This window comes from Homo sapiens, chromosome 8, assembly GCF_000001405.40.
Source record: "Homo sapiens chromosome 8, GRCh38.p14 Primary Assembly".
NCBI classification, from domain to species: Eukaryota; Metazoa; Chordata; class Mammalia; order Primates; family Hominidae; genus Homo; species Homo sapiens.
Window position 1 is genome coordinate 80,907,534 of NC_000008.11, and position 12,573 is coordinate 80,920,106.

The 12,573-nt window shown below is 43.2% G+C and overlaps 1 long non-coding RNA gene across 1 annotated transcript; it reads left to right on the top strand.

Annotated features, from left to right (window-relative positions):
- The first annotated feature begins 1,235 nt into the window (after positions 1-1,235).
- Positions 1,236-7,674, top strand: LOC107986894 (uncharacterized). The gene is made up of 3 exons (XR_001745723.2): positions 1,236-1,337; positions 5,286-5,573; positions 7,358-7,674. It is a non-coding gene; the product is annotated as an uncharacterized LOC107986894 (long non-coding RNA).
- The last annotated feature ends 4,899 nt before the right edge of the window (positions 7,675-12,573 follow it).

The window sequence follows — 12,573 nt, forward strand, 5'->3', positions numbered from 1 at the left end:
TTTCTCTCTTTCTCTGTCCCCCATCTCTTCTCTGTCTCCTGTTTCTCTCTCTTCCTCCTTCTTCTTCACCCTGTCCTTCTTTTTGTCTCTCTCCCTGCCCGCCCTGTTCTTTCTCTCTCTTTCGAATGCCTGCATTACTCTTTGCTCTCTCTGCCACCCCTGATTAGAGCTTACCTGATCTTCCAGTTCAGAGGCCCAGAGAAGACTCCTCAGGACCTTAGTGCCCACCTACACATGTCCTACCCTTGTTTATTCCTTGCCAAATCAACTGGGACTCACAACTTGGGGGGAAGAAGATGCGAGAGCATCCCATGTAGATTTGGTCACTCACTGCTAGAGTTCCAGAGAAGGGGGCTGGCTAGACTCCCCATATGTTTTTTGTTTGTTTTTTGAGACAGAGTTTCGCTCTTGTTGCCCAGGCTGGAGTGCAATGGCATGATCTCGGCTCACTGCAACCTCCGCCTCCCGGGTTCAAGCTGCTCTCCTACCTCAGCATCCCGAGTAGCTGAGATTACAGGCATGCACCACCAAGGCCAGCTAATTTTGTGTTTTTAGTAGAGACGGAGTTTCTCCAAGTTGGTCAGGCTGGCCTCGAACTCCTGACCTTAGGTGATCCGCCCACCTCAGCCTCCCAAAGTGCTGGGATTACAGGTGTGAGCCACTGCGCCTGGCCATGTTTTTTTACCGATATGAAATTATCGATCTACATGTTCTTATGTAGTGACCAAACCACAGACTTTTAAAACAGCCACGGGGTGGGGGCAGTCCATTACCCTAAGACAGGACACATTTATTTGGCCAAAGTATTTACTTGTGTGCCTCCTATGTACAAGGCACTGTGATAGGTGCTGGAGAAACAAAAACAGTTGCATACCTTAAATTGCTCATATCCTATGCAGAAGGCAGGTAGGTTAACCAACAGGCCTCCACAGCCTTGGACACTATGCAGAATATTTCTTGTCTTTAGTTCAATTTAACTCAATTCATTTGCCATATTACAGGCACAGTGTAAGGGAATACAATGATAAATGCCTGCACTCTACCCCCAAGGAGTTCAGAGTCCAAGAGAGAGACAGATATATCAGCAAATATTAACAGTACAGAGTGATAAGCCAAGAGTCTAAGTATATGAATGATTCACAGGCAGGAAAAAGAAGGGAGTGATTATCCATCATCCCCACCCCGTCACTGGGAAGTCTTCGTGGAAGAGGTGACACCTACTCTGGGCTTTGAAAGGCATTTCAGGCAGTGGAATTGGGGCACAAAGTCACATAGTGATGAAACTGAATGGCATGTTTAGAATGATGTTGCTGGAGGGTAAAAGGAGGATGATGGAGGTGAGTGCCTGAGAAAGTGGAGAAGGCAGCAATGGTAAGATTGTGAGGGGCTTTTTGTACCCTGATTAGGACTTAACGCAGATGCCAAAGGGCTGCGAGGAGAGACTCATGATTCAATTTTGGTTTTAGCAAGCACTCCACCAGGACATGGATGACTGATGAAGGGAAGGCCAGGATAGAGCAGAGAGAGCAGTCAGAAAGCTATCACAGTAATCCAGACATGAGACAAGGAGGGCCATGGCATGCGGATGAAGTGGAGAGGCGACACATGAGAAAGGCTTAGGAAAGAATTTGAGGGTATCAGTGACTGGCTGGATGTGTCATGTGAAGAGTAGGAAAAAGTCCAGAATTAATCTCAGGTTTCTGCCTCAGGAAAGCTGGGTAGATGATGATACCACCAATTGAGAGAAAATACAGACAGCAGAGGGATAGTGAGAAGGAGAAGAGAGAGGTAGATCAGATCATTTGAATTGGAGGTAGTTGAGCATTTAAGTGGAGATGTTTCAGAAAAAAGTTGGGTATACATGTATTGAGCAGGCGGAGAAAGCAGGGCAGAAATGTAAATATGAAATCTTCTGGAATTTAGGTGTCAGAATGAAGGGAGAGATGGAAATCTCCTAAGCAAAGAAGACAGGAGAAGCCAAGACAGAATTCACTCCCTTAGGATCATTAAAGTGATTACAGATGGAAAAGACCTACAAGCCAGGAGAATGTGAGGATTTCAAAACTGAGAGGAGAGATTTTTTTTTTTTAACTTTTATTTTAGGTTCAGGGGTACATGTGCAGGTTTGTTATATAGGTAAACTTGTGTCACAGAGGTTTGTTGTACAGATTATTTTTGCAAGGCTCTTGTATTGGTTCGAACCCCGAGAGCGTGCCAACAGACAATGCGAGGCAGTGTGGAGCAACACACTGTTTTAATGAGCGCCTGGGTGCAGACGGGCTGAGGTCTAAAATGGCGTCAGCCCCAAATGAGGATGGGGCAGGGGCTTTATAGTCTCGTGTAAACGGGAAGTGTCTCAGTCTAGTGTAACTGCTATGCGGTACCCGGACGGCCTCCCTCTAGGTCTTCAGGGGGTATGTGTCTTCCAGCCAGCTCTCTTCCTGCTTCTGCTATCTTGCTGACGCACGCTGCTGGTGCAAATGGCCTTGTGCCTTGGGACTGAGCCTGAGGCAGGGAGGAGTTATTCAACCCCTGCCCAGCTTCCAGGCCCTGGGGAAAGTCTTTCATTCCTGCCTATTTGGTTATTGAAAAAGGGAAAAGGGACAACTTTCTCAATGACTACTTCAAGTGTGACATGGGGACTGGCGTGCGCACCTTGGAAACAAAGAAAAACTTAATTTTGGGGGTATTCTTGAGAGACGGGTTGGTATTCATCGTGTCGTTGCAGCAGGAGCATCGTCTGGATTGTCTGGTGGTTAACTCTAGTTTCAACAAGACTTTTAATAGCTTTGATTATTAGTGGGATAATACAGGGGGGAGAAATAGGAGGAACCCAATGATGAAGATTACTGTTCCTACCAGCGTTTTAAATCCTCCTAAATTAGAGAACCACCCTCCTAGAAGCTTTATTGGGTCCCATCCCTTCCAGGTTTGGGCTGGAACATGGGATACTTTTCTGATGTTTGAAGGGATTTCTAGTACTGCTTTTCTGTTATCGTCTATGTGAAGACAACAATTGGAGATATTAAACTTACCACAGACCCCACCTTCTGCTAATAAGTAGTCTAGTGGTAGCCTGTTTTGATAAATTGCCGTACTCATTTGGTTTTGTTGTTGCACGAGCATTTCCAGGGCTGAGGCGGTTTGGTTAGTGATTATCTCTAGAACTGCCTGTAGTCTAATTATTCTATTTAGCATATATATGGGAGTGCGATAACCCCATGAACCATCCTCAGCCCAAGTGGCAGGACTGTAATATTTGATGATCTCTGGCGGAGGCCATTTGTCCTGTTGCCATCTTTGGCTTCCTCCTACCTTTAAGGATCTTTTGTTGTTGTTGTTGTTGTTTAGGTTATTATATACAGGGACTCTGAGGGTGTTGCCCGCTGTTAAAGTTTTGGAGGAAGGAGTAGCCTTGGGGGTGAGCTTGAGCCTGGTGTGATGGATCCAGTGGGGGAGTCCTTGGACTCTCGCTGCAGTTGGCTTGCTGAGTATCACAGTGTAGGGGCCTGTCCACTTTGGTTGTAGGTTTTTGTGAGGGTCGAGTTGGCAGATAAACACGTCTGTGCCTGCAAGACAGTTATGTTGAGAGGACAAGGAGATGTTGACGGGGGAGAGGGGGTTGGGGCATGGCTTCATTTCCTGCTTCACAAATGAAAGACTGTGTCTGGACTAAGGAGGGGAGGTAATTCCGGAGTGGCTCAGAGTCGGGTAAGGGTGGAGGCCCCAAGACAAAAGTTTGGCCATACATGATTCAAAGGGACTATGAAAAGAGGGTGCCTTTGGTGTTGTGCAGCGTCTCACAAGGGCAAAAGGGAGATAGTATGATACAAGGCTTTTGTGTGGGTTTGAACCCCGAGAGCGCGACAACAGACAACACAAGACGGCGTGAAGCAACACACTATTTTAATGAGTGCCTGGGTGCAGACGGGCTGAGGCCTAAAATGGCATCAGCACCAAAAGGTGTCGGGGCAGGGGCTTTATAGTCTCCTGTAAACAGGAAGTGTCTCAATCTGATGTAACTGCGACGCAGTACCCGGACGGCCTCTCTCTTGGTCTTCAGAGGGTATGTGTCTTCCGGCCAGCTCTCTTCCTGCTTCTGCTATCTTGCTGATGCATGCTGCTGGTGCAAGTGGTCTTGAGCCTTGAGACTGGGCCTGAGAAGGGAGGAGTTATTCACCCTCTGCCCAGCTTCCAGGCCGCGGGGAAAGTCTTTCAATTTTGTCACCCAGGTACTAGATTTAGTACCCAATAGTTATTTTTTTCTGATCTTCTTCCTCCTCCTGCCCTCCATCCTCAAGTAGGCCCCAGTGTTTCCTCTTTGTGTCCATGAGTTCTCATCATTTAACTCCCCCTTATAAGCGAGAACATACAGTATCTGGTTTTCTGTTCCTGTGTTAGCTTGCTAAAAATAATGGCCTCCAGCTCCATCCATGTTCCCACAAAAGACATGATCTTATTATTTTTTATGGCTGCATAGTATTCCATGGTGTACATGTATTACATTTTCTTTATCCAATCTGTCATTGATGGGCATTTAGGTTGATTCCATGTTTTTGCTATAGTGAATAGAGCTGCAGTGAACACTTGTGTGCATGTGTCTTTATTGCAGAATGGTTATATACCCAATGGGTATATACACAGTAATGGGATTGCTGGGTCGAATGGCAGTTCTGTTTTTAGCTCTTTGAGGAATTGCCACACTGCTTTCCACAATGGTTGGACTAACTTATACTCCCACCAACAGTGTATAAGCATTCCCTTTTCTGAGAGGAGAGTTTCAAAGAGAAAGTAGTCTGAAGTATTGGTTGCTACAGAGTGACTAAAAAGAGGCTATATAAGGATTTGGCAGTTAGGAAATTGTAGCAAATCTTTACCAGGGTAACTTTACCTGCATTGTCAGGAAAGAGAGGCCAGTTACAGGGTTGGAAGTGAAGAAGCTGAGTTACGAGTAGAGGTTGTTCCATTAAGAAAATTGTCTTTGAAGCCATGCAGAGAGAAAGGTGAGTAGCTAGAAGGGGACACTGAGTTTGGGGGGATGGTTTTAGAAGTTAGAGTCTTGAACGTGTTTATCCATTGAGAAGCAGCCTGTGGAAAGGAAAGCTGAAGAGGTGAAGAGATGGAAAGGGATGGATTCTGGACCAGGGTTGGAGACATTAATCTGCAACAACAGGAAGAGCACATCTCCATCTGAAATTGTAAGAAAGGAAATAGATGTAAAAAGGTTTGTGTGTGTGTGAAAAGAAAACTTAGGAATTTTAAGTCCAATGACCTCAATTGCCCAGGTATGAAGAAAGCCATTTTCCAAGGTGAAGGATCAAGAAAGGAGAGAAACAATGAAGGGCAGGCACTGGTTTTGACATCTGCTATGGACATGGAAGGAATGAAACTTGCAAAGTGGAACTAACTGGGCATGGAAAATGATTTGAGAAATCATAAATTAGCAGAGATGCCTATCAGCAGTCCAGAGGTCTAGAAGTCCTGACCATTCTCACACCATTAAACCCAGTTCTGACACACTTTGAACCAGATCGTCTAATTCCTCAAAGCTCAGAGCACCTTGTGCTCATGGGGTAAGTATTCAAATTAGATAAATTAATATAAAATCCATGCAAAATGAGTATAGTAAAATCCTTTAATCTGTGGACTCTGCCAGCGGTGACTGAATGCAGGTTTTCCAGTATTAGGAGGATGCTGGCTGGCTGTTTAATGTCTTCACCAAAGACTAGACAATGGGAAATGGGCTTAAATTGCAGCCAAGTTTCAATAAGGAAGGACGTTCTATGGAAGAGTAGCTAAACACGCTGATGGGCTCCGAGAGACTACAGAGAACAGCCTGCCCTGTGGAATACATATGTCTTAAGTGCTTTTGATCCAATCCTAGGAGCATAGTTTATTTGATTTCTTAAATACCCTTTTAGTGCTATGCCACTGTTGGATTTTAAGCAAAAAGGAATATATAGTAGCACAGCCCATATAATGGAGACAGCACATAGTACTTTTTTCTTTCTTTACTTTTTATTTTACTTTCTTCCATAATAGACACATTAGAGGTAACTTCTATGTAAAATTATCTGGACATTACATCAAAATAAGTCACATGTAATTATTAATTGTGTCATAGTCCCATCAAGTAAAAAAGATCCATAGACCCTCAATCCTCTATCTAGCCTTGTTGGTTATCACTAGCTTGATTAAAGGGAATGATACTCGTTTGTAAATGCATTTGGCAAACTTACCCTGCTATTGTTTCCATTATTTTGCAAATTACAGACATTGAGATGAAGGCTCTGTAATTTCCTAGTGTTCTCTTTATTCCTGCTTGGAAAACTGGTATTGCCCTGGCATACTTCCACTTTGCTGTTATTTCATTTGAATACAGCAAATTCTTTATTATGATTAACAAAGACTTCTGCTCCATTCCTCTTTGAATATCAGTCTGCTCATGGAGATGTGTTGATTTTGAGCCGTGCTGTCTCCTTGAATCTCTCTGTTTCACTGATCTCAAAGATGTTCAAGACAACAGACACCCAAGTATTCCTAAATGACATGTTTTTTTGTGTGTTCTCCATTTTGAATTTGTTATACGTTTAGTAATTTTACCTTTGTCTGGAACTTTTGTCTGGAACCTTTTTCTCCTCTTCTTTAACTTGTCTAATTCGAAATGCCTCCTTCACTTATTACCTAAGAGCCTGAAAATATGCAAGTGGTCGGGTTTGGTAATCTTGCAATTTGTAAGCTTCTTTGCCCTTTCATATTTTGGGGTTTTTCTTCCTCATATATCTCTCTCAAGATTTTTGCTCAGTGCCAGGTACTTTGGGGGTATCTCGAGTAGGCAAATAGCTTTCCTTGAGCACTACACACTTCTAATCCATTAACTAATCATTGCACTGGAATCACATTTCCCAAAATCAGGCTCTCCTTCCTTAAGTCCTGCCTGAATATCTAGTATAATATTCATTGAGCAGTCCTCACACTTAGAGAGTACTAAGTAAATATTTTCCTCCTAAGATCAGTCATATTTAGAAAAAAATCACATTAATAGAGCTCTTCTAGGTAGAAAGTGCTGGAACCAAAACAGGTGCATGACTGTGACTTGGGAGCCCATCTTCCATGATCAAATATCAACATGGAAAGTTCTTCTCTTATCCCTCTCCCCCAGCTCCTTTTGTCTCCCCCTTCCCTCGCACTCCTCCCTGGTGTCAGCATCTTCAGTCACTCCTTGTTACTTTAACCCAATTGGGCAAATACTGGGAGGAGTGTACTGAGGATAATAATAGCAACAATAAGAGCTCACATTTCTTAAGAGCCTAACACGTGACAGGCATTGTTCTGTGTTTTACATCCTTTATCTCAGCTAATCTTCTCAACAATCTCATGAGGAGAGTAATACCAGAGAAGTGGACCCTGAGAACTCAGAAAGCTAGCGACTAAGGAGAAGGTTCAGGATTTGAACTCAGGGTGTCTGATTGCAGAGCTAGAACTACACTGTGTATATGCAGAGGAAGCATCCAATGAATCATGAGCATTTTATGGTGACTATTATTCAGGTATGTATCTTCCATGTATTGAGTACTACTACCACATGCTTAGGCTGGGTTTGACCTCTCATCCCATTTACTTTTCACAATCACCCATGGAATTAGGGTTTCCGTTTAACAATCAAGGAAACTGAACCTCAAAGGCATTCTGTAACTTGCCCAGGATTACTCATCGAGTAAGAAAGGGGAGTCCTGAATATTCCAGCCAGTCTGCCCTTTTCACCCCTTTTTAGGGTTTGCTTTAGAGAGTGGATTGAATTTTTCCTCATCAGACTGAGGATTCTAATGAGGTCACACGGATGATAATAATTAGAAATCAATGGCTTGTGTTTCTCCCTTCATAAGTAGAGTCTTAGTCCCTGAGGGTGGATCACGTGGGCTCCCACACATCTCCTCCTGCTGCGAGCTGTTCGTGCTCTGTCAGCCCCTCTGCCAGAGGAAGGTGTATCATACAGTGGTCTGTGGCACAAGAGGAAGAAGGACTCACACCCATCTTAACCTCAGCAGTGCTCTGTGTGCCCTGGTGCCCTAATGTCTACAGCTGTCTCAGTGTTCTTTAAAATGTAAAAAAGCTCTTTCACTTGTTACTTACAGTCCCTCTACTGTCCATGAGATTCAACTACCAGTGCATGGGGACCAGGCCAGGGCTCAACGCCACATGACAAACCCCATTCTGTATCCAGAATCCTCCTCCTGTCCACTGACTGAGAGGTGCCTTTGTTCCCTGGTAGATCTCATTGAGCCTGGATCTTTCTCTCCTCCTAATGAGCTCTCCAAGGAGACTCCTTTGGTGGGGTCACCTTATCAATTTTCTACAAATATTCTATGCTTTAAATCTCACTTAGACTCGGGGGCAGAGTCCCTATCAGCTGCTTTTCGCTTTTCATCTGTCCCATATCCAAACTCCATAGCCCAGGGCACCTATTTCCTTTTGGAGAATTGCTCTTGCCCCCAAATGTTATCTTGGCAGAGGGTAATAGTTGCCTCTGACTAGGGAAGCTGCCCCTCCAGGAAGTGAGCGTGTGACCTTGTTTGGCCAGTCGGTGCTCCCCTCTGGGACTGTGAATCACAAGTAAGCAACACAAAGATGTTAGAGATGGGTAGAAATGCTGCCTACTCCTGCTGTGGGTCCTGAGGGCTGGCTCTCACATTGCCCCTAATGCCTGCGGGTTCCAAGCCTGAAGCTGATTCTCTGAGCTCCTGACATACTTACAATCACTTACCTTTTATGTAAAATAGTCAGGGTGCACTTCTGTTGCAAACTATTCAGAATCCAGACTGAAATACACTCAAATTTACAATGTAAATGTGGCCAAAAACATCTTTGTGGCCCTTTGGTCTCTCATTCCCCTCCCTCTTAGCTTCTCCTCTGCTCCCAAACTTCCAAGGGTCTTAGGCTGCTTTCACTGTGCAGGCCTCTCTCATCATGGTAACTTTTAAGCTTGCCCTCTCCAGAGCTGAGAAGCCTGGATTTTTTTCTCCACCTTTTGTTGCAACACATTCTATTTTCTTCCACAAAGACTGATGACCAGGGCATCTTCATGGCTGTACAAGAATGCCATGAAACCATGTATCTTAAATCACAGAATACTCTTGAAATAAAGTCTTGTAGGAACAATATGTGTGCCTAATAAGAGAACAGCATCTCTGGTCCAAGCCAAGTTTGAAAACTAGTGGTATGGCTAATCTTGCTCTTCTTCCCCAAGGATATTCATAGGTGCTGATGGTTCTGAATGGGCAGAAGAAATAATATTTGACTGGGTACCAGAAAAATTAGAATCTTCTTCCATCTCTGGCACCGTCTCATCGTGTAGCTTTAATCAAATTACTCAGCCCTTTTGGGTTTATTATTGAAGTTGGAAAAATAAAAGCATTGCATTAGATTTTCTTTATAAAGTTCCTTTCACACTGTGATTTGGGTGTTACCTCTTCCAGTGGTATTTGCATTTTGCCTTCCAAAAGATCCCTAGAATTGCTAAATAGTAGAAAGGAGAGCTTTATTGGCGGTATCAGTTTGCAAACTGTGAAGAGATAGTCTTCAGCATGGAGCAAAGGTGCTCTCTCTTCAAAGAGGGAAAGGGCAGTTGGGTTTTATGTCTCTCAGGTCCAGCATCATGCAATAGAGTCCTACACATTGAGGAGGTTTGGGGATAAAGTTATACATATTTATGAAGGAAGTTGAGCGCATGTGCGATGGGTAAACATACATGTAATATACATCCCACGTTCACTTTGAGGTGGGGTTTCAGCATTAAAATGAGGTGGAATTTGGATCTTTACAGCAAAAGGTGAACTATAGGACACAGACAGTTTGTGTGCAGTCTCTATTAAGCTGGCTGAAATTGGCTTGAGGTCTGCAGTTGCTTATCAAGAAAGAATGTTTGTAAGACTGGTCCTCTGTCCAATCAGAGTTACAGTGACCTGGGTTGTAAATCAGAGTTAGGAAGGCTCTGACACTTTGCCTGATAGCTCCTATTGTTAGGAAGTTTAGCAAGAGTATGAATTTTTTCTTGTAGCTGTAGGAATTTAGGAAGTTACCATGCCAGCCAGGCCTGAACCCTTGGCTCAAAGGTAACTTTCATTCCCCTAACCACAGAGTCCATCTTAGTTGATAAAGGGGCATCTATTTTGATCTCTCAGATCACGATTATATCAGACGATTCTTGAAGTTTTCAAACTCTTGAGATCGAACATAAATCATTAGTATCCAGAAGTCAAGCTTTATAACAGGCTATCAGGAAAAATATTTTTGGTTTGCTGAGATGAAGATGAGAGGAAGGAAAAGGGAAGAGAGGAGAGGTTTCTCCAATTTTACTATTTGTGCTTCTTGGAAATTGCAACTCCACAACCCATTCTTTTTCTCATTAGACAAATAATGCAAAGAGCTTAACTATCACACCAGCATGCTACGAGAGGCTCCCTGGTGTGCTTCAATATTGGACCAAACACAGACAGATGTATTCCTGGTGCCTGTGTAACATTACAACTCATTGATCACATGCAGCAACATCAACATCTCAAGGAGTCCATTTGTTCAAAACACAGTAAATGACTCCACATTTTCCCTTTGAGTCAACAAAAGACTCTGCTTGTCACCTTGCCTGGAGCGGGGTGGTTTTTCACTATGTGAGTATCTATCTTTTTATTTCTGTCCCTTATGTTGGTGGGCACATGTCTGTATTGCTGTCCCTGTTACAACTCATCCCAGTGAATGTTAGCTGTGATGCCAGTAGTTACCATCTCTTGACTATTTACCCAACAGATAACAATGCTTACAATGCCTTAAAAATATTACCATTTGGCTTAAACAGTGATGAAAGAAATATATTTTTCTCTTCATTTTATATGAGGAAACTAGACAACAAGAGGGTCAGTAACTTCCTGAAAGTCACACAGATAGTAAGAGGCAGAGCTGGGCTATGCACTTGTGCTTATTTTTCTCAATATTCTTGCTGCTACAAGGAATCTTGAAAGAGGAGATTTTCAAGAACGTGAGCAGATTGTCTCAGGAATTGGAGGAGGATAAGCATCTATTACTTATCTCTATTCATTTTGACTCAGGCCTGTGTAAAAGCAGGAAATAGAAGGCATGAGTGTTCCCCATAATATTTGCAGTTCATAAGTTAGAAATTAGCAATCAGCCCCTTTTCACGTAGGACACAATAATAGACACTCTGGCACAGTCCCTGCAATTTGGTTATGCGAAGAAAACAGGAAACAAGCACATTTTCACTGTGGTTTCAGTCTGAGGAGGGCTGGCATCTGCTGACGTGACGGCTAGATTTTCTTGTCAATATCGTATTTACTATCCTGATCACATGAGCGGAGAGAGGAGGATGAGTCACAGTTAACTGGCTGCTAAATTAGGAAAATGTAATCCATTTATTTCTTTCAAATTAGATTCCCCCAAAGCATTTTAGACCTTTTTTTCCTCAGCAACCATAGCCACAACCTAAACAGCTAACACATTCCCAAACTAGGCTAATCTGGCTGTCTATTATAGCTAGACAATCTGGCTGTCTATTATAAGTAAATAAATTACCATTTTGTAGCATTTTCTTCCAAAATTAGGGCAGGATTTTGAGTATATTAGTCTTCACCTACAAATGCCAAACTTCTTCTGCCCTGGCTTGACTCATGTCCACCCCTCACTGCCTACTTTCAAGAGCCATCAAAATACAATGTAGTATGTCGATTTATATTTCTAGAAAGCCACAAAGTAGTCCTTAACCAATAAGAATCATAAATCATTAGCTCTGTGAGGAATCTATTGGATCACTCATTTTATAGCTAAGGGAAATGGAGACCCAGCGAGCCTTAAGAAATTTCATGGACTCAGCTCTCTGGTTGCCAAGTTAACAATTGCAGCCCCCTTTTTTCGTTTCTTTTCTTTTTTTTTTTTTGAGACAGGGTCTCACTCTTGTCACCCAGGCTGGAGTGTGGTGGCACAGTCATGGCTCACTGCAGCCTCAACCTCCCAAACTCAAGAAATTCTCCCACCTCAGCCCTCTGAGTAACCAGGACTACAGGTATGTGCTACCATGCCAGGCTAATTTTTTTATTTTTATTTTTTGTAGATATGGGGTCTCCCTATGTTATCCAGGCTGGTCTCAAACTTCTGGGCTCAAGCAATCCTACTGCCTCACCCTCCCAAAGTGCTGGGTATACAACCATGAGCTACCACTCCTGGCCTCCCCCCGCCTTTTTTTTTCCTGTGCACACCAGTATACCTGAAAATCAGTGCCACACAGGAAACCCTGGTTTGGAAGTGTAAAATGTGATGATCAAACAAACAAAAAAGCAAACAAACAAGCCAGCAAGTCCACATACTGTGTCAGCTCAGCCATTCTCCAGGAGGGGTAGTTGGGATGAAAAGCTGGGAACTCTTCTGTAGAAGATGGTTCAGCTTAATCTCCCAACCTGCAGCCGTTCACTTTATTTTCTTATAAAATTTGCTGACTTGAATCAGGGCCTGATTTCTCATTTTACTCATATTTAGGAATGAGGTCAGAGACTGGTTTTCTTCAACCAT